At 35.5% G+C, this 24178-nt stretch overlaps 1 long non-coding RNA gene across 2 annotated transcripts in view, besides 1 other annotated feature; it reads right to left on the bottom strand.

The window, feature by feature from the left end:
• The window catches only part of LOC105376637 (uncharacterized), a 292809-nt gene that overhangs the window by 162762 nt on the left and 105869 nt on the right, over window positions 1-24178 (bottom strand). The gene's annotated exons all lie outside the window — the stretch shown is intronic.
• Window positions 13780-14379: an enhancer, noted in NCBI's record as "NANOG-H3K4me1 hESC enhancer chr11:39868501-39869100 (GRCh37/hg19 assembly coordinates)". NCBI's record gives its function as "activates a minimal SCP1, AML or CMV promoter by ChIP-STARR-seq in naive H9 embryonic stem cells {active_cell/tissue: H9 hESC(naive)}" and the evidence as "EXISTENCE:reporter gene assay evidence [ECO:0000049][PMID:30033119]".

Below are 24178 nucleotides of genomic sequence, written 5' to 3' on the forward strand. Positions count from 1 at the left end.
GGAAAAATCTCTATAATTAAAAATATTGAAGTTAATTTATGGTTCCAAGCCCGTATTTTTTAACAGATATGAAGATTAAAGTTAGTAGTTCTATACATGTAAGAAATATTTTAAAGTAAATGTTATTTTAACACATATTTTAATGCTTTATGCTTTAATCTGTTGCTTCTTTACTTATATTACGAACACTTTCAATTTCTTTTGATAATTTACTTGCCATTATTTTCCATAGTATCCCATTGAAAGCTCATAGTGAAAGCACTGGAAATAAAGTCAGGCATCTTTGCTTCAAAATCAACTCTGGTAACAAGATCATGTATTGAGACCTTGGCAAACTTTTCTCCCCACTGAGCAGTTACTTCATCTGTTAGCCTCACAGTGTTGTTCTGAAGATTTAATGAAGTAATGGATGTAAACATGCCTGCAAATTTGCATAAAACCATATATTCTCATTTATAAAGCAGTATAATACTTCAGTATTACAACAAATACATACTCTACCGGTGCTTAATTCTCTCTAATCTTTTGAAGTTTAAACAGAAGAAGAGTAACATATTTTATCAAACAGTAGATCTAATTTAAGAAGAAACCCTCAAACAAAGCCAACACTAAAACTTTTTCTTCCTCTTGCAACATTGAGAACTCCTGAAAGTATAAATGCTTCTTTTTAACCATTTTCACTTGTACTCTGGTTTATCTGTAATAATATAAAACTATTTTCATCAGAAATGTTGCATAATTTTAAGTTTAAAAATTCCAATTGTCTAGTTAAAAAGTTCAAACTGTTTAACTGGGTAACAACCACTTAAAATAATTTTTCTGTGCATACATTAGTGGCTGGGTTTCTCCAGTATGCCAGACACAACTTGTTTTTCAGATTTAGGATTGAACCACTCAAACTCTAACCCTATATGTGATAAGGAGTGCAGTTGGTCCCAATATTTATAGGAATTATTGGGGTCTTAGATAGCTCCTAATTATTTTTAGATTTTCTTTCCTGCTTCTGTTGCATTAATGAGATCATTCTGCATTTGCTTCTTATGTGTATTGATCCATTTCTGCAATCACACATCTCAGACATTGATTTAAATCCAATCTTCCCCAAAGTTCCAAGATCTCTAATATATACTTTGGCAGCCTTTCCCAAAATAGTGCTTAATAACAGAGTTGGCAGGAATGAATTGGAGAAGAGTAATACTATACATATTAAAATGTGGACTCACGTGTAGAAGACTGAAACTGGACCCCTTCCTTACACCATATAAAAAAATCATCTCAGGATGGATCAAAGACTGAAATGTAAAACCGAAAACTATAAAACCCTGGAAGATAACCTAGGCAATATGATTCTGGACATAGGAACAGGCAAAGATTTCATGATGAAAATGCCAAAAGCAATTGCAACAAAAGCAAACATTGGCAAATGGGATCTAATTAAACTAAAGATCTTCTGCACAGCAAAAGAAACTACCAACAGGGTAAACAGACAACATACAGAATGGGAGAAAATTCGCAAACTATGCAACTGAGAAAGATGTAATATCCAACATCTATAAGGAACATAAATCTACAAGAAAAATAAACCCATTAAACAGTGTACAAGGGACATGAACAGTTATCAAAAGAAGACGTACATATGACTAAAAAGCATATGTACAAAAGCTGAACATCACTGATCACTAGAGAAATACAAATCAAAACCACAATGAGATACCATCTCATAGCAGTCAGATGAGTATTACTAAAAAGTCAAAAAATAACAGGTGCTGGTGACATTGCAGAGAAACAGAAACACTTATGCACTGTTGGTGGGAGTGTAAATTAGTTCAGCCATTATGGAAAACAGTATGACAATTCCTTAAAGACCTAAAAAGAGAACTACCATGTTATGCAGCAATTCCATTACTGGGTCTATCCCCAAAGGAAAATAAATTATTCTATCATAAAGACATAAGCATACATATGATGACTGCAGCACTATTCACATAGTGAATAGCAGGACATGAAATCAACCTGAATGCCCATCAATGGTAGACTGGATAGAGAAAATGTGGTACATATACACCATGGAATACTAGGCAGTCATAAAAAAGAATGAGATTATGTCATTTGCAGGAACATGGATGCAACTGGAAGGCCATTATTCTTAGCACACTAACACAGGAACAGAAAACCAAATACCACATGTTCTCACTTTTAAGTGGGAGCTGAATGATGAGAACACATGGACACATAGAGAGAGGGGAGCAACACACACTACAGCCTATTGGAGGGTGGAGGATAGGAGGAGGGAGAGGATCAGAAAAAATAACTAATGGATACTAGGCTTGATACCTGGATGGGGAAATAATCTGTACAACAAACCCCCACTGATATGAGTTTGCCTCTATAACAAATCTGCACATGTACCCCTCAACTTAAAATAAAAGTTAAAAAAATTCCCAGAAAACAAACAACAAAAATATGAGTTCTTGGATATGCCTTAACGCTGGATTGTAACAATGATGATAATAAGAAAGGCAAACATTTATAAAGACTTTCTACCAGGTGCAGTGGCTCATGCCTGTAATCCAAGCATTTTGGGAGGCCGAGATGGGAGGATAGCTTGAGCCCAGGAGTTTGAGACCAGCCTGGGCAACATAGCAAGACCCTGTCTCTACAAATAATACAATAATTAGCTGGGCACAGTTGTGTGTGCCTGGAATCCCAGCACCTCAGGAGGCTGAGGCAGGAGGATCACTTGAACCTAGGAGTTTGAGAATGCAGTGTTCCATGACATCACTGCCTTAGCATGGGTGACAGTGCAAGACCTTGTCTCAAAAAAATAAGAAAAAAAAATTTTCATGTGCCATATGCCAATCACTGTCTCACTGTTTTGCATATAACGCCACATAGCAGCCCTACAAAGCTGATAGAAGACTATATTTATCTCCATTCTTTACTAGAAAAAAAAGTGAAGCACCTTGAAATAACTTACCCAATTTTTAAGAACCAGAAATCATGACTTTAGAAGATGCCTTAGAGTGGCCATACTGATTGTCCTTAATGGCATTAGAACCCTACATGAAATGCTGCAGGGGGGGTAGAGCAGGGTGACACCTCTCCAACACAGTTCAATCTCAGCATCACAAATGTGGATTACTGGAGAGGATGTGCTCCATAAAGTGAGGTAAGAGAGACACACAAAACCATAAGTGAATTATCCTAGTCTAAAACTCGTAACTTGAATGTATCCAAGCCTCTGGATCTAACTGTCAATCTACCAGAATTTGATGGGAAAGAAGAACAAGCTAATTCACATAATGAAGAAGCAATCACTCAAACAGAGAGCATGAGAGATTCTAAACAATAAATAAATGTATTTCTTCAACAAGTAACTTAAAAGGAGGAAGAGCACTATTATAGGATAGAATAAAAGATACTTAAGAAACATAATAATTAATTAAAGGTAATATTTTCACCTTGTTTGAAGACTGATTTGAACCAAGCAAGTGTACAATAAACTCTGTGAATCAATTAGGAAAACTTATGTATCAGCTGATATTAAAGAATTTGCATAAATTTTTAAAGATCAATAATATCATGTTGGTGAACTAAAGAAAAGGAAAAAGCTCTATATCAGTATGTGAGTCTTTACGAAAGAAGAAAATGTCTAAAAATATAAAGTAACATACTATCTGGGATTGCTTGAAAATACTCCAGCATTAAATACACACACACACACACACACACACACACACACACACATACACACATATATATGTGTGTATATATATGTGTGTATATATATATGTGTGTGTATATATGTGTATATATATATGTATATATGGCGCTTGTATGTTCATTGCAGCACTATTCCAAATAGCAAAGACAGAATCAAGCTAGATGGCTGTCAACCCTGAACTGGATAAAGAAAATGTCATACATATAAGACCATGGAATACTACACTGCCATAAAAAAGAAAGAATGAAATCATGTCCTTTGCAACAACATGGATGTAGCAGAAGGCCATTAATCTAAATGAATTAATGAAAGAACAGAAAACCAAATACAGCAAGTTTTCTCTTACAGGTGGGAGCTAAACACTGAGTATACATAGACATGAAAATGAGACAATTCACACTGGGACTACTAGAGAGGGAAACTTGGGATGGGGATAAAGGTTGAAAAACTACCTGTTGGGTACTATGCCTACTCCTTGGGTGATGGGATCATTCATACACCAAACTTCAGAGACACATAATTTAACCATGTATCAAATCTGCACATGTATCCCCTGAACCAAAAATAAAAGTTGGAAAAAAAAAGAGGAAGGGAAAATACCTGAAACAAACTGACAAAAAGCTGATACTTGTTGAAACTGAATGCAGTGTAAGAGTGTTTTATTACATTATTTCTAGTTTTTATATTTTCAAAAATTTCATTTATAAAAAAAGATTTTTTAACGGCCCTAGAGCGATCTCATACAAAACTGCTAACAATACAAATTTAGGTAAACTATGGTGAAAATTGTTATGCTCCCGATATTTCCTGTGAGTTGGATGTGTCAAGCTAAAATTAAGTTAAATCACATAATTTATATATCAGCAATACTTGGAAATTAACCATAATATTTTTAGAAGCTGCCAGAGTAAGTAAATATAAAATCACACTCATGGTTGCCTTCTGAAAAGCTGTATATATTTAACCTTGGGTTGACCTATAATATGTACTCTACTTGTAAATAATTTCAAATTGTATATTTCAAAAAATTATATTGATAAAAAATATATAGCTAAAAATTGATAACTTCTACAGTAATATATATGCACATCTAATAGTTCCTTTATGTAATAAGTTCCTACTATGTACTAAGTACTGTGATAAATTGTTTAACAAGGATAATGATGTAATGCTGTGCATGCCCCAAAATTTTTAAATTTATTTGACAAAATAACATATTTTCAAAACAAGCACTACATATATATATACATATACATACATGTACCCATAGATATATACTGTATTTACACACATAGAGATATACTCATGTAGATCATGCACAGTATTTGTAATTTTTATTCAATACAATATATATAATTTAAGCCAATAAATTAGCATTAACTAGTCCTTGTTATATCAATTAAGTTTCATCAGGTAGGTTAGTTTCAATCGCTTTACATACTCATGAAAAGAATTAAAATAGAAATTTTTGCATTTCATGATTTAATGTTGTATCATATTGAATATTTGCAAAATTATGAATATATACATAAAAGTAAGCAAATTATAAAAATACCCAAGAATAAATAAAATATATACTGTCTCATTTTAGAGTCCACATATTATATTTCTCATAATACCATACAAATAATCTTGATAATTACATTCTCTTCCCACTTGATGGATAAAGAATTTAAATCAGATGAGATTTCCACATAGTATATACACAAATGAGGAGTTATAAATATATAAAACAGAAGGGAAATATAGGTAAAATTAACACAAATCTATTTTAATCATTAGTCAAGTGTTAAGCATGAAAATATTGAGTATAATAAAAAAAGAATTGTAAAGTCTATATAAAAGTGTATAAAACAATTACTTGGACCTTAAAAATGGGATAAACATATGAAACAAAATATAACAAAAATTTAATTAGTGACATTTTTTAGAAATTTCACTTAGACTTTAGGAGGCTAAGGCAGGTGGATCACCTGAGGTCAGGAGTTCAAGACCAGCCTGGCCAATATGGTGAAAACCCATCTTTACTAAAAACACAAGCTGGGAGTGGTGGCAGGCACCTGTAATCCCAGCTACTTGGGAGGCTAAGGCAGGAAAATCACTTGAACCTGGGAGGTGGAGGTTGCAGTGAGCCGAGATCATGCCGTTGCACTCCAGCCCAGGTGACAGAGTAAGACTCCGTCTCAAAAAAAAAAAAAAAGTCACTTAGAAAATATATATATATTTCACCAATTCTAGTGATATTTTAATCATAATGAAGTTGAGTAGAGAAATCCTACAGAGATCAAATCAACATTCATTTATTCACCAAACATTATCAAGCTCTGGGCTCTGAAATGTGCTTTCTACCCTAGGCAAAACATTTATCCTCTCTAAAACTCAACATCTTGTGTTTAAAACTAGCATCCATTACACAGAACTATAGTCAAGATTAAATGCAATGAAGTACATTCTATCTATGCCCTGAAATATACTAACAATTAAAAATGTCATTGGTTACTATTATTTACCATCCATGTGTTTTGTGTTGAAGACATGGAGATCAAAGTAGTCTTTAATACCTAGTGGACATCCAGTGGAGTAAGGGCTACATCAATGTGAAATACTTCTAGACTAACTTGGTGAAAATGTTCTCAGCTTTCTCCCACATATACAGATTTTTAATTTATTTTTATTTTTATTTTTTATTACTTTAAGTTTTAGGGTACATGTGCACAACGTGCAGGTTTGTTACATATGTATACATGCACCATGTTGGTGTGCTGCACCCATTAACTCTTCATTTAGCATTAGGTATATTTCCTAGTGTTATCCCTCCCCTCTCCCCCAATCCCACAACAGGCCCCGGTGTGTGATGTTCCCCTTCCTGTGTCTATGTGTTCTCACTGTACAATTCCCACCTATGAGTGAGAACATGCGGTGTTTGGTTTTCTGTCCTTGTGATAGTTTGCTCAGAATGATGGGTTCCAGTTTCATCCATGTCCCTACAAAGGACATGAACTCATTCTATTTTATGGCTGCATAGTATTCCATGGTGTATATGTGTCACATTTTCTTAATCCAGTCTATCATTGTTGGACATTTGGGTTGGTTCCAAGTCTTTGCTATTGTGAATAGTGCCGCAATAAACATACGTGTGCATGTGTCTTTATAGCAGCATGTTTTATAATCCTTTGGGTATATACCCAGTAATGGGATGGCTGGGTCAAATGGTATTTCTAGTTCTAGATCCCTGAGGAATCACCACACTGACTTCCACAAGGGTTGAACTAGTTTACAGTCCCACCAACAGTGTAAAAGTGTTCCTATTTCTCCACATCCTCTCCAGAACCTGTTGTTTCCTGACTTTTTAATGATCACCATTCTAACTGGTGTGAGATGGTATCTTATTGTGGTTTTGATTTGCATTTCTCTGATGGCCAGTGATGATGAGCATTTTTTCATGGGTCTTTTGGCTGCATAAATGTCTTCTTTTGAGAAGTGTCTGTTCATGTCCTTCGCCCACTTGTTGATGGGGTTGTTTGTTTTTTTCTTGTAAATTTGTTGGAGTTCATTGTAGATTCTGGATACTAGCCCTTTGTCAGATGAGTAGATTGCAAAAATTTTCTCCCATTCTGTAGGTTTCCTGTTCACTCTGATGGTAGTTTCTTTTGCTGTGCAGAAGCTCTTTAGTTTAATTTGATCCCATTTGTCAATTTTGGCTTTTGTTGCCATTGCTTTTGGTGTTTTAGACATGAAGTCCTTGCCCATGCCTATGTTCTGAATGGTATTGCCTAGGTTTTCTTCTAGGATTTTTATGGTTTTAGGTCTAACATTGAAGTCTTTAATCCATCTTGAATTAATTTTTGTATAAGGTGTAAGGAAGGGATCCAGTTTCAGCTTTCTACATATGGCTAGCCAGTTTTCCCAGCACCATTTATTAAATAGGGAATCCTTTCCCCATTTCTTGTTTTTCTCAGGTTTGTCAAAGATCAGATAGTTGTAGATAGGTGGCATTATTTCTGAGGGCTCTGTTCTGTTTCATTGGTCTATATCTCTGTTTTGGTACCAGTACCATGCTGTTTTGGTTACCGTAGCCTTGTAGTATAGTTTGAAGTCAGGTAGCATGATGCCTCCAGCTTGGTTCTTTTGGCTTAGGATTGACTTGGTTTTGCAGGCTCTTTTTTGCAAATAGTTTGTCTTCTTGTTTTCCTTTTGAGTTTCAAAGCAGAATCCTCTTAGAAAGGAGACAGAGGAAATTAATGCTTCCAGAAGTTGGATGTGTTTATTATGAATATGAGAATAATAGATGTTCCTGGGCCAGGATTTGAATAGTCTTGTTCCCAATTTTCAATCGTTCGAATCATTCTCTCCAGGGAAGTCACTGGCCTACACTAGGTGTAAAGTTTTTGGAGCAAAAAAGATAAAAACAAAACCCATTGCTAATGCATGCTTATGAGAGACACAGTGGTCTCATTAAAACTGAAGCTTTTTAAAGCCATAATTTCTCAGGGCTCATCCATGTTAAAACCAGTATTTTCCATTTGAGCTTATTTCCTACTCATCTAATTGGAGGGCTCTTGTCAGTACCTATTTCTGAAGCATCTCTGATGTAGTGAAAATGATGTTGAGGACAAAATGGCTATGCTAGTATCAATATGAAATTCATTTTATTTTTATTGAAGTAAGCCATTCAGGCAAATCACTTTTTTTTAAACTGGCACTTTACTAAGAACATATCAAGGTGAACAACATATACGTACTTATAAAAAGGATAGTTATCTTAAAATACTTCCAGGGATTTTTTTGTAGGTCTATATTAAATTATGGAGATTTGGGCAAAAATCATTGAATTTTTAAAATCCAACATTCTGTATACTTCGTCCCTAAATTGGAAAACTACCCAATTTATTCCTTTTATGACAATATTTCTTGATACTGAGAGCCTAGTTTCATACACAGTGATGATGTTCAAAGGGGGAGATTTCTTATGATTTTACCAGGCATGTCTATATCTTGTCAATTGATTTTGAAATTGAGTTTCATTATGTTGTCTTTGTTCCCTCCCTCCCCTTTGACAGCACTGGCCTAATTCAATAACAATGTCACAATAATCAAATGAGGTTTGGTTAGACATTAAAAACAGGATTTTTATTTGGTGTAGATACTTAGAATCATTAAAAACACTAAAAATAGAACTTTATTTTCCCATATTTCTTGTAGGGCACCCAGAGTCTCTTGAGAATCCATCTTATTCCTGGAAAGAGAAGGTCTTACAATTGCCTTTCTAATCATCAGAAACAAGACAATGAGGGTGCTGTGCATTGACTGTTCTCTCACTGCATCAGTATTTCTATACTGAGTACAAGTAATCACAGACTTAGCAGCTTAGGACAACACTTACTTATTATCTCACAGTTTCTGTAGATCCGAAATCCAGGCAGGTCCAACAGAAACCTCTGCTCAGGATCGCCCAAGGCCAACATCAAAGAATCAGAACTATTCCTCTCCAGAGGCTCTGAGGAAGAATCTGCTTCTCACTTTACGTAGTTGGCAAGATCCAGTTCATTGCATCTCTTGGACTAAAGTCCCTATTTATTACTCAGTGTCAGTTGGCATGCGGAGGGAGAGGGTATTGCCTCTACTCTGCCCCTTAAGGCGAACTCTATTTCTTCTAACATTGCTGTCATTATATTCAAAACCAGCAATGGCACAGCAAGTTGAAATTTCCATGATTTCTCGTTCTGCTTTTATTTTTAAGGGATGGTACAATTACATTAGATGCACTTATATAATCTCCCTTTTGCCATATAAGTAAAATTGGGCAGTTTTCCAATTTAGGGACAAACTACACTGAATATTGAATTTTAAAAATGGAATGATTTTTGCCCAAATCTCCATAATTTAATATAGATCCACAAATATTCAAAGTATTTTAAGCTAAGAATTATGTCTATTCTATACATAGACAAAATAGAATTGTCTGTTGTCCAATTTAAAGGACAATAGACAAAAAACATTAGACAGGTATTGTGCAACCAAATTTTCTACACACTTTCTACCCTAGAGATGCCCAAATATATATTTCACTAGCATACACGACGGTTAAAAATCTAAGCTTTTGGGTCAACTAGGCCTAGGTTCAAGTTCAAGCTCAATTTTTTATTAATTGTGTGATTTTGTGATCTCATATTTTTATCTCTAAAATGAACGCAATGATATTACCTATCAAAAGGTTGTTGAATTGATTATGTGAAAGAAAGCATAGCAACTAATACAACAATTAACATACAGAAGGCACTAAATGATTCTCACATGACTTAGAGTCTTGCAAACATAAACAGCATTTATTCAGCAACTCCTAGTATGTTCCACCCAGTCCTGCAGTTAACTTGTTCCTCTCTTTAAAATCCTTCTGTTCTCAGTCATACATAACAAAAATACCTTAAGTATTTCTGTGAATGCCCATCTCCAGAAGGTTTCAAGAATGGTAAGAAGTCAAATGCAACCTTACACATCTGTACACAGCCTATGTTACTTGTAACAAGCTGCATGTATAATTTGACAAATTCATTCAAAAGCTCCATATTTCAATTGTCCACGTTAAGGTGTCTTAATTGTGCTAAATCTTCAGTGTCAGAATATCTCATTCACTAATAGAACAGTTGTCTGTAAAAACCCATACAGTATCAGTTAAAATTTAGTTCAATACGGAATTGGAGTAATGGCATTTACAAATTTTTTCCCCCAAAAGAATAAGAAGAAAATCACCAGTACCATTTACTTGCTTTCCATTCATTTCACCTCTGCATCTGGAGCAAAGTAAGAGAAGGAAAATGACACCAACACTAAAGTGCTATAAATCTTGATTTTTTAGAATACTGACTCCTGACCTCACGGGGGCTGTTCATGCAACACCAGGGATTGTCTTCTGCATACATTTTCTCTTTTCTTCCTAATCACTGATTACTATTCACTTTCACTCCTGGGAGTCACAACTACATTTCCTATTGCAGCCTTGATTTTATTGAGTATTTTAAGCTAACAATTTAATCCAAATGCTTATTAAACTCTTTCTGGGAAAGTAAATTAAATTATTTTAATAAAACTAGACTTTTATTAGTACACCAGTAAGCATGTAATGTTTATTACAGCTCAGAGATTTCAGCAAATACCTTTTAACTGAACTTATTTTGTAGCTGTCCCCTAGCAATTTTATTAAATTCAGTGGTAATTAACGATTAGGCACCTAGATGAACTGAGTTGAATATTAGTGAATGATAGGTACATTAACTATGGAGAAATACTGACGATGAGGTGAGGAAATGCAGGAATGGACTGATGAAAATAATGTTTAATTTCAGCAATATCATCCATGCTCATGGACTGAAATATCATCTATATGCCAACAACTTCCAAATTCACATCGTGCCAAGACTTATCTGAGCTTCAAGCTACTTGAAAACTTCTCTTTAATGCATTATATGTATCTCAAGCTTCATGTACAAGAAGTAACTAACATTTTCGTTAAAACATTCACCCCTAGTCTTTCTCATCTTAAAAATAAAAATAAAGAGCAAATACCAATCAACCTAGTTCCTTAAGTGAAAACTGTGTTAATTTTTCTTGATTATTTTTTTTAAATCACTTATCATATCCAATACACATTCAAGTTCTACTGACTTAACCTCGAAAGGACACTTTGAAAACAGCACAGTTAAGTAGACTCTCCTTTTATCTTTACTACTCCACAAGCCAATCCTAAAACAGCACTGAGAGTGACCTTTATAAAACATACATTTGAGGATACTAACTGATAATCTCCAATCGCATCCTATAGGACTTAGAACAAAACCCAAATCCCTAAGCCTTGCCTACAAGGCTTTGTAAAATCTGGCCCCATGTTATACCACTATCTCACTTGTTCCTTATATTCTAGCTTTATTGTCCTTCATTCTGGGCCTTGAAAATAGCAAGCCTGTTTCTATACTGTGGTCTTTATATTAGACCTTTCCTGTTCCTGGAATAATGTTCTGCCTCCGGATCACTTCATGGCAGCTCTTTCATGTTATTCAGACCTTAGCTTTACTGTGTCTCACAGGACTGCAAGGTCCTCTTTGAATACTCAATACCTCCTAAGCCACTTTCTTGCATATCATCCTGTGACTGCACTCGTCTTGAACAGATATTAACTTGCTTTTGAATTTGTTCATTCTTTGATTGCTGCATTACCCCCTCCATTGCCTATTAATAGAAAACAAGCTCTATTTCTCCATATCAGCAAGTACTTTTCTATTCTGCCCCTTACCTCCTTAGTATCCCTCTGATCTGTGACAGACAATAAAAACTTTTAAAATTTATAAAATATAATTATTATTTAAAAAGTTCTTCTTCCATTTCCTGACTCTTAATTTGAAATTAAAAATAGTCCCCTATATCTGAGGCTAAGACAAATAATCGAATGCTATATTCTCCTCCCTGTAAGTTTTCAAAAATAAACTACCAGGTACAGTGAGTATTCTTTAGCTTTGTATTCAAGGCTTTTCAGGATCTCTTCAACCTATGCCAATTCTCTCTACTTTTTTTATGTTACATTTATTCTATTCAAGCTGAATGATTCCATTTTCTCATAGATGTGCTCCTGTAATATTTTATCTTCAAACATTTGTTATTACTGTCCTCTTTTCCTGGAATCTCCTTCTTCTCATGCCCACATTTTGATATTTTTGACCTTTAGAAATAGTTCCAAGGCATTATAAATAGACTCAATATATTCTTAAAATATTAGTCGTAGACTTTTTGTTTTTGGTAAATTCATACTTCTGGGCATCAGTTGCCTCATTTTTGAATTAAGAGGTTGAAGTCGACAAAATGACATATGTATGGACCCTTGAATGTATCACTACAGCATGAAGGGGAAATAACAGCCTTTTGCATAAAGGTTGCTGGAAAGTTACCTAGATGAGAAAAAACTCAAACTCATGTGCATTTTGTACTAGATAGAAATTATTTGCAATTTTCTTGAATATAATCTATACAATAACATGTAATTTATGAGTGTAAGAGCTTTTATTTAATAGTAACATCAAACAGGTATACTTATATAGATCATTTAATAATCTACTGTGGAGTTTTCAGTATAAATTTCAAAGAATATACTGGGAACACTTTCGCATTATTTTCAAGCTATAAATAATTTTTCTTAATGACCCTACCAATTTGATAATAAATAACCTTCAAAGTTTATCCTTGATCACAAAATCAATAGCCCCAACATGCTTTGGCTTACTTATTTATATAGCTGTTACAAGAATTATTAATTAACCATATAAACCTCCTTGAGGATACAGTATTGAGCACAGTACAAAGCAAAAAACTAACTTCTGTTTCAAAATCTTATTTTAAAAATCTCAGATTTGATATTGTAAAAGCCTGTGTTGTTACATTCTCCATCATGAAGCTAATCAAGCAATGAAAGTTTCTTCACTAATTTCTCCCATAGTGCTTTTCAGCTTCAGTGAATTCCTTTCTTCTGTTTTCAACTTGAATTACCATACTAGTCTAATTTGTCCAAGGATTATCATTAATAATAAAAAATTGCAACCTTATATGAAAAGGTTTCTGACCTAGCAGTTTATGAGACTCTCTCTCTCTCTTTCTGTAAAGATTAACACAGCAACGATTCTCAAACTTAAGTCTCAAGAGCTCTTTACACTATTAAAATTTTGTGAACATTCCGAAGAGTTTTTATGGTGGGGGGTTACCTCGAAACATTTATGGTAGGGGAGGAGCCAAGATGGCTGAATAGGAACAGCTCTGGTCTACAGCTCCCAGCGTGAGCGACGCAGAAGACGGGTGACTTCTGCATTTCCAGCTGAGGTACTGGGTTCATCTCACTAGGGAGTGCCAGACAGTGGGTGCAGGTAAGTGGGTGCGCGCACCATGTGCGAGCTGAAGCAGGGCCAGGCATTGCCTCACCTGGGAAGCGCAAGGGGTCAGGGAGTTCCCTTTCCGAGTCAAAGAAAGGCGTGACAGACGCACCTGGAAAATCGGGTCACTCCCACCCGAATACTGCGCTTTTCCCACCGGCTTAAAAAATGGCGCACCACGAGATTATATCCCGCACATGGCTGGGAGGGTCCTACGCCCATGGAGTCTTGCTGATTACTAGCACAGCAGTCTGAGATCAAACTGCAACGCAGCAGCGAGGCTGGGGGAGGGGCGCCCGCCATTGCCCAGGCTTGCTTAGGTAAACAAAGCAGCCTGGAAGCTCTAACTGGGTGGAGCCCACCACAGCTCAAGGAGACCTGCCTGCCTCTGTAGGCTCCACCTCTGGGGGCAGGGCACAGACAAACAAAAAGACAGCAGTAACCTCTGCAGACTTAAATGTCCCTGTCTGACAGCTTTGAAGAGAGCAGTGGTTCTCCCAGCATGCAGCTAGAGATCTGAGAACAGGCAGACTGCCTCCTCAAGTGGCTCCCTGACCCCTGACCCCTGAGCAGCCTAACTGGGAGGCACCCCCCAGCAGGGGCACACTGACACCTCACACGGCAGGGTATTCCAACAGACCTGCAGCTGAGGGTCCTGTCTGTTAGAAGGAAAACTAACAAACAGAAAGGACATCCACACCAAAAACCCATCTGTACATCACCATCATCAAAGACCAAAAGAAGATAAAACCACAAAGACGGGGAAAAAACAGAAGAGAAAAACTGGAAACTCTAAAAAGCAGAGTGCCTCTCCTCCTCCAAAGGAACGCAGTTCCTCACCAGCAACAGAACAAAGCTGGATGGAGAATGACTTTGACAAGCTGAGAGAAGAAGGCTTCAGAAGATCAAATTACTCTGAGCTACGGGAGGACATTCAAACCAAAGGCAAAGAAGTTGAAAACTTTGAAAAAAATTTAGAAGAATGTATAACTAGAATAACCAATACAGAGAAGTGCTTAAGGAGCTGATGGAGCTGAAAACCAAGGCTCGAGAACTATGTGAAGAATGCAGAAGCCACAGGAGCCGACGCGATCAACTGGAAGAAAGGGTATCAGCAATGGAAGATGAAATGAATGAAATGACGCGAGAAGTGAAGTTTAGAGAAAAAAGAATAAAAAGAAATGAGCAAAGCCTCCAAGAAATATGGGACTATGTGAAAAGACCAAATCTATGTCTGATTGGTGTACCTGAAAGTGACAGGGGAGAATGGAACCAAGTTGGAAAACACTCTGCAGTATATTATCCAGGAGAAATTCCCCAATCTAGCAAGGCAGGCCAACATTCAGATTCAGGAAATACAGAGAACGCCACAAAGATACTCCTTGAGAAGAGCAACTCCAAGACACATAATTGTCAGATTCACCAAAGTTGAAATGAAGGAAAAAATGTTAAGGGCAGCCAGAGAGAAAGGTCGGGTTACCCTCAAAGGGAAGACCATCAGACTAACCACGGATCTCTCGGCAGAAACTCTACAAGCCAGAAGACAGTGGGGGCCAATATTCAACATTCTTAAAGAAAAGAATTTTCAACCCAGAATTTCATATCCAGGCAAACTAAGCTTCATAAGTGAAGGAGAAATAAAATACTTTACAGACAAGCAAATGCTGAGAGATTTTGTCACCACCAGGCCTGCCCTAAAAGAGCTCCTGAAGGAAGCGCTAAACATGGAAAGGAACAACTGGTACCAGCCACTGCAAAATCATGCCAAAACATAAAGACCATCGAGACGAGGAAGAAACTGCATCAACTAACGAGCAAAATAACCAGCTAACATCATAATGATAGGATCAAATTCACACATAACAATATTAACTTTAAATGTAAATGGACTAAATGCTCCAATTAAAAGACACAGACTGGCAAATTGGATAAAGACTCAAGACCCACCATTGCGCTGTATTCAGGAAACCCATCTCACGTGCAGAGACACACATAGGCTCAAAATAAAAGGATGGAGGAAGATCTACCAACCAAATGGAAAACAAAAAAAGGCAGGGGTTGCAATCCTAGTCTCTGATAAAACAGACTTTAAACCAACAAAGATCAAAAGAGACAAAGAAGGCCATTACATAATGGTAAAGGGATCAATTCAACAAGAAGAGCTAACTATCCTAAATATATATGCACCCAATACAGGAGAACCCAGATTCATAAAGCAAGTGCTTAGTGGCCTACAAAGAGACTTAGACTCCCACACATTAATCATGGGAGACTTTAACACCCCACTGTCAACATTAGACAGATCAATGAGACAGAAAGTCAAAAAGGATACCCAGCAATTGAACTCAGCTCTGCACCAAGCAGACCTAATAGACATCTACAGAACTCTCCACCCCAAATCAACAGAATATACATTGTTTTCAGCACCACACCACCCCTTTTCCAAAATTGACCACATACTTGGAAGTAAAGCACTCCTCAGCAAATGTAAAAGAACAGAGATTACAACAAACTATCTCTCAGACCACAGTGGAATCAAACTAGAACTCAGGATTAAGAATCTCACTCAAAACCGCTCAACTACATGGAAACTGAACAACCTGCTCCTGAATACATAACGAAATGAAGGCAGAAATAAAGATGTTCTTTGAAACCAACGAGAACAAAGACACAACATACCAGAATCTCTGGGACGCATTCAAAGCAGTGTGTAGAGGGAAATTTATAGCACTAAATGCCCACAAGAGAAAGCAGGAAAGATCCAAAATTGACACCCTAACATCACAATTAAAAGAACTAGAAAAGCAAGAGCAAACACATTCAAAAGCTAGCAGAAGGCAAGAAATAACTAAAATCAGAGAAGAACTGAAGGAAATGCAGACACAAAAAAACCCTTCAAAAAATTAATGAATCCAGAAGCTGGTTTTTTGAAAGGATCAACAAAATTGATAGACCACTAGCAAGACTAATAAAGAAAAAAAGAGAGAAGAATCAAATAGACGCAATAAAAAATGATAAAGGGGATATCACCACCGATCCCACAGAAATACAAACTACCATCAGAGAATACTACAAACACCTCTACACAAATAAACTAGAAAATCTAGAAGAAATGGATAAATTCCTCGACACATACACTCTCCCAAGACTAAACCAGGAAGAAGTTGAATCTCTGAATAGACCAATAACAGGATCTGAAATTGTGGTAATAATCAATAGTTTACCAACAAAAAGGGTCCAGGACCAGATGGATTCACAGCCGAATTCTACCAGAGGTACAAGGAGGAACTGGTACCATTCCTTCTGAAACTATTCCAATCAATAGAAAAAGAGGGAATCCTCCCTAACTCATTTTATGAGGCCAGCATCATCCTGATACCAAAGCCGGGCAGAGACACAACCAAAAAAGAGAATTTTAGACCAATATCCTTGATGAACATTGATGCAAAAATCCTCAATAAAATACTGGCAAGCCAAATCCAGCAGCACATCAAAAAGCTTATCCACCATGATCAAGTGGGCTTCATCCCTGGGATGCAAGGCTGGTTCAATATATGCAAATCAATAAATGTAATCCAGCATATAAACAGAGCCAAAGACAAAAACCACATGATTATCTCAATAGATGCAGAAAAGGCCTTTGACAAAATTCAACAACGCTTCATGCTAAAAACTCTCAATAAGGTATTGATGGGACGTATCTCAAAATGAGAGCTATCTATGACAAACCCACAGTCAATATCATACTGAATGGGCAAAAACTGGAAGCATTCCCTTTGAAAACTGGCACAAGACAGGGATGCCCTCTCTCACCACTCCTATTCAACATAGTGTTGGAAGTTCTGGCCAGGGCAATTAGGCAGGAGAAGGAAATCAAGGGTATTCAATTGGGAAAAGAGGAAGTCAAATTGTCCCTGTTTGCAGACGACATGATTGTATATCTAGAAAACCCCATTGTCTCAGCCCAAAATCTCCTTAAGCTGATAAGCAACTTCAGCAAAGTCTCAGGATACAAAATCAATGTACAAAAATCACAAGCATTCTTATACACCAACAACAGACAAACAGAGAGCCAAATCATGAGTGAACTCCCATTCACAATTGCTTCAAAGAGAATAAAATACCTAGGAATCCAACTTACAAGGGATGTGAAGGACCTCTTCAAGGAGAACTAGAAACCACTGCTCAATGAAATAAAAGAGGATACAGACAAATGGAAGAACATTCCATTCTCATGGGTAGGAAGAATCAATATCATGAAAATGGCCATACTGCCCAAGGTAATTTACAGATTCAATGCCATCCTCATCAAGCTACCAATGACTTTCTTTACAGAATTGGAAAAAACTACTTTAAAGTTCATGTGGAACCAAAAAAGAGCCCGCATCGCCAAGTCAATCCTAAGCCAAAAGAACAAAGCTGGAGGCATCACGCTACCTGACTACAAGGCTACAGTAACCAAAACAGCATGGTACTGGTACCAAAACAGAGATATAGATCAATGGAACAGAACAGAGCCCTCAGAAATAACGCCGCATATCTACAACCATCTGATCTTTGACAAACCTGAGAAAAACAAGCAATGGGGAAAGGATTCCCTATTTAATAAATGGTGCTGGGAAAACTGACTAGCCATATGTAGAAAGCTGAAAGTGGATCCCTTCCTTACACCTTATACAAAAATCAATTCAAGATGGATTAAAGACTTCAATGTTAGACCTAAAACCATAAAAACCCTAGAAGAAAACCTAGGCATTACCATTCAGGACATAGGCATGGGCAAGGACTTCATGTCTAAAACACCAAAAGCAATGGCAACAAAAGCCAAAATTGACAAATGGGATCAAATTAAACTAAAGAGCTTCTGCACAGCAAAAGAAACTACCATCAGAGTGAACAGGCAACCTACAAAATGGGAGAAAATTTTTGCAATCTACTCATCTGACAAAGGGCTAATATCCAGAATCTACAATGAACTCCAACAAATTTACAAGAAAAAAACAAACAACCCCATCAATAAGTGGGCGAAGGACATGAACAGACACTTCTCAAAGGAAGACATTTATGCAGCCAAAAAACACATGAAAAAATGCTCATCATCACTGGCCATCAGAGAAATGCAAATCAAAACCACAATGAGATGCCATCTCACACCAGTTAGAATGGCGATCATTAAAAAGTCAGGAAACAACAGGTGCTGGAGAGGATGTGGAGAAATAGGAACACTTTTACACTGTTGGTGGGACTGTAAACTAGTTCAACCCTTGTGGAAGTCAGTGTGGCAATTCCTCAGGGATCTAGAACTAGAAATACCATTTGACCCAGCCATCCCATTACTGGGTATATACCCAATGGACTATAAATCATGCTGCTATAAAGACACATGCACACGCATGTTTATTGCGGCATTATTCACAATAGCAAAGACTTGGAACCAACCCAAATGTCCAACAATGATAGACTGGATTAAGAAAATGTGGCACATATACACCATGGAATACTATGCAGCCATAAAAAATGATGAGTTCATGTCCTTTGTAGGGACATGGATGAAATTGGAAGTCATCATTCTCAGTAAACTATCATAAGTACAAAAAACCAAACACCGCATATTCTCACTCATAGGTGGGAATTGAACAATGAGATCACGTGGACACAGGAAGGGGAATATCACACTCTGGGGACTGTGGTGGGGTGGGGGGAGGGGGGAGGCAAAGCATTGGGAGATATACCTAATGCTAGATGACAAGTTAGTGGGTGCAGCGCACCAGCATGGCACATATATACATATGTAACTAACCTGCAGAATGTGCACATGTACCCTAAAACTTAAAGTATAATAATAAATAAATAAATTAAAAAAAAAGAAGTTACTGAAAAATAAAATAAAATAAAATAAAATAAAAAAGAAACATTTATTGTATTAGGCATTTTTAAATTATAATTTTTAAGATTTATTAATTCAATTTATAAAGCAATACGAAATCTATAACATGTATATATTTTATTAAAAATAATTGTTTTTCAAAATAAAACAACTGTGGAAAAATTGTATCATTTTAATATTTTTATATATCTCATTATCTTCCATAATAAAATGCCTGCTTTTGCACTCAAATTGTTGATTGTGAAGTTTATGTAGAATACGTACTCTCAATAGATATGTAATGGGGAAAACAAAGTGTATTTCAATAGCCTTTTTATATCATTGTAGATTTTCTTCCTCAAAACTACAACCAAAGCATGATGTATTATTTTTTAAAAGCTATTTGCAATGTGGAATATGAAAGTATATCAGTAAACTTTTCTGTTTCTTTAAAATTCATTGATGTATTCTATCTTTAGAATGTATCTTTTGTAGATGCATGCTGTTAATAAAATCTTTCAGTAGTCAATTCAAATATACTAATTCATGAAATTGTATAACTCTTCCAAATGTAAACATAATTCATGATAAAATATTTAAAATCCTATTGGCTAATATCACCAGTGATGGCATCAGGAAAGTCTTTTTCTATTGGGAAGCACTTAGGATCATGTACATGTTTATCAAAATTATATTTTTCACTTGAAAGTTTAAATTCTATCTATGGCAAAAAAACACTGCCAGTCTTTCCTTGATTTTATAGACTCATTTATTCATTTAAAGAAAATATTTGCTACATATTCATCTGAATAACCATAGTTTGCTATTTGTCATTCTGCCAAATAAAAATGGACAATAGTGAGGTCATAGAGATGAATGCAAAATAGCTAGCAAGAGCATAAAGATACTACTGAAAACACACTGAGTTAATCTCTGAATATGTACACATTCATATACAAAATCTATTACCTTAGAAAATCCTAGAAAACATGAGAACACCTTCCGTTAGTTGTCTAAGAAATACTGTCATCATGTGTCATGCATCCTCTAGGCAAATCTGCTGTATGCCCATAAAAAATGAGGGTGAGAAAAATCGCATCAGTTCTTATTACTATGAAAATAGTTTTGACCTCACAGACACACATAAAAGGAACCTCTAGTTGGCATAAACCACATTTTTGAGAAATACTGGATCAGGAAAAATAAAGTACCAGAAACTTAGTTTAATTTCTGGAAATAGTGGGCATATTTGATATGTATATTCTTGTATAACTCTATAAACCAATTAGAATCGAGTTTTCTTAAGTGAAACTGTAATATAGTTCATTCATACCTTCTGAAAGTAAAAAAATTTTACACTCATAAAATAAGACATAAAATCCATTCTATTTATAGATCACAGACCTATAGAGATCTTAGAGAGTTAAACCAAAGTCAAGTAGACAGAAACACAGAAAAATCACAGGTTCAAATCTCAAGAAGCAGTTCCCCTTTCTAATGCGTGGCAAATATCACAGGCTAAAATAACATAGACTAAAAACTTGATTATTTGCGATCTCTTATCCAACAAAGTATAAATTCTATCATCCACCTGACTGAGAACACCAAATGGTCACATAAACTAGATTACAATCTCTGCTCCCACCAACATGAAATAAATGATCATCTAGTAAATCAGCTTCACATATGCACAGGGTGCTCTCTCTGTCATGCATGTGAGAGCCTAGTACTCCAACATAACATATAGAGAAACACAGGTCCCTGGTCTGTGTTATGGAAAGGGATATGGCTGCAACACACCAATATAATAATATACTTGATTAAAAAATTAAAACACGAATATTAGAAGAAAGAAAACAACTGTAGGCAAATAGAAAGTCAGCAAAAATAAAGTGCTATTGTGTAGCTTGAGAATCATTTCAGAGGCCATGAAAAGATTTGCCTGGGCTTAAATAGCCCATAAGGTGCACTTCTCAGTGAAGAAAATTTAATTGATTCTGGGCAGGTGAGTCCACGGAACTTTTGGTGGCTCTCCAAAACTGTCAAATCACAATTTTCAAACACTTTAAAATGTGATTAAATATATGTCAAACTTACACAAATTATTGCATCTGTCCAAAGAACATTTTGGGGAACAAAGTATTTATAGTCTACTTGAGAAAGCATTCCAAAAAGCATGGACTGAGTTAGGAACAAAACACTTTAATAACCCACAGGGCTATAAAATTTTGATCTTTGGGGCTACATTTTCTACATAAAAGTGATTATCTGCATCCCTATTACAAAGGTCTACAAGTTAACATGTTATTTTAGTAATATAAGCTGTTAGTTAATAGCAAATAGTAAAATCAAACAAAGGTAAATTGTCCTAAAAACTAAATATTTCTTGGGTGATTTAAACCATTACTCAGTGAGATATTTAAAAGTCATGCCACTCACTTTTTACCTTATTTCTAAAATTTAAATAATTTATAATATTTTACAATTTGCAATAAATATTTTGTGATTAAAAAAATAAAAATAAAATGTCTAAAATGTTTACGTACCCACTCAAACAACTACTAGGAAATGAAAAATGTTTTCCTAATATTTTGGGTCATTTTAGGCTTTAGAGCGTTTAAATTGTAACATACTCAATCTTTATTTCCTTCGGAACTTACAAAACTGATTCAAGTACGGTTTTCATCTCAGAACTAGTGGGAGTATTGAGCTCAGATCAACTACCCCGGTGATGTAATAACAAAACAAAAATAAATCTTAAAAGTCTTTTGAAAAAATAGAATACTATTGTAAATGTTGGGTACCAAATGAGAGAGCTTAAAATTAAAGTAATAAAAATGCACCTAGTTTTCTATCATTTTTTGAAGTCATATACGGAAGTTCAAAAATCATTAGAATGAGGGATTTAAGGATTTATAACCCAAGATTCAATTGGATGAATAATTAAAGCTTAATTCATCCATACAAAGAAATATCCAACTGTATTTGTTTGAGTGGTAAATTATTTATTATAAATGTTTTATTATAAATGATGAGTGTTCTAGTTTTCTTTTAGAATTGGTATAAATCTAGGCAATGAAAAATTTAGTTATTGACATAAGAAGAAAATGAAGTCAGTCTGTTGAAGTGATTCCATTCCAGTACCATAAATACAATTAATGTTGGTTTTAATCAGCTTTGAAGCTAAAATAAAAGTCCTTCAGAGAGCTCCATCTATTATTTCAGTATGGAATATTCTGCAAACAAGCTTATAGTATCTTGTCACTTATAATAATCAATAAGACATTTGACCAGTAATTCCTCAAATCCTGAGTACAATCTGCAGATTTAAAGTCTGGCCCTTTGTCTTAAATTCCTTATCTCATCTTATTCGAAGTTCTACAGCAGAAAATTATCTCTAGTTCCTTTGCAGCTGTAAAATTGCAGTTTAACACAGAACACCAGAGGAAAACCACCCTTTCTTTCACAGCCTTGTCTCTAAATTGGCCTCAGTTGAACTCAAGGAAATAAATTATATTTACCAAACATTATAGATTATTTGGAGAAAAAGTAAAGGAAGTTATGTCTAGAAATCGGAAAAACAATGTTGAAGTTAGAAGAAGAAAAACAGTAAACCTGTTGAAATGAGCTCATCACATGCTCAGCCCATTCCAAAATTGCACCTGACTTGAAGTGTGTCCCTTTTATGATTTAAGAAACATAGAACCTGATTAAAAGACCCACAGTGTATATATCCAGCCCTTCTAGGGAAAAAAAAAAATCTCTTCTTAGGGTCTGGTTTGGGTCTAAAATTTCTATCAAACTTTCCTCATCCTTCATTCCATCATTCACATTTGCAGAATAAACTAGAACACAATTACATTAGTTAGAGTAAAGCTAGGTTTCCCAACAGAAAAGCCTTTGTGATTATACCTGCCTGGGGGAACAATCACAGTGTTACTTTGTCACCATTGTTAATAAGCTAGGCCTATTTACCAAACCTGTCACACCAGGTAAATAAGAAAGTTCAGCATTTTACAGACTTCTTATGAATCAAACTTTTAAATGAGTACCAACTTGAGAAAAACTGTTTATTGCTCGAATGTTCAATTCATTCATTCTGGCTCTGACCACATCAATGAAATGCACAAGTGCTCTGCCATACTAAAGAAAGTCCTGAGCTCACAGATCAATATACTTTCTGCTTTTAACCAAATGTCATCCCCAAATATTTAATCCTTTATATATTCAATAAAATCATCCAAAGATTCTGTCTAGACCTTTCATCTAGTGAAATCAGTTGCACCATATTTTGTTCTAATTCTGGTGATTTAATGATTACATCATTTTAAAGTCAATTTTAACACGTTGTTGTCATTGATATGAGAGAAAGCCTCATTATTTGGGTAAATAAGAATGGAGTTTACAGAGGTCCCTTGTTTGTCAACTAGTCTTTTCCTCTCAACTAGTCTTTCTACTCCTTTTCATTATCTCTACTATGTTTTGGCTCATTTTTTTCCACTTGTCACAATAATACAAATACTTTGTTCTTTCTTCATTTTTATCCTGTATTTTCTTAAATTCACTGACCAGTTTCTATTTTTACTAATGTAATAGAAAGAACATTGATTATTTAAACTAATGAGTTTTCTTTCGTACTTCTGCTGCTTTTGTCTCTCTAGATTTCCTAACCCCTTGTTA

Source organism: Homo sapiens, chromosome 11 (assembly GCF_000001405.40).
Source record: "Homo sapiens chromosome 11, GRCh38.p14 Primary Assembly".
Taxonomy (NCBI): Eukaryota; Metazoa; Chordata; class Mammalia; order Primates; family Hominidae; genus Homo; species Homo sapiens.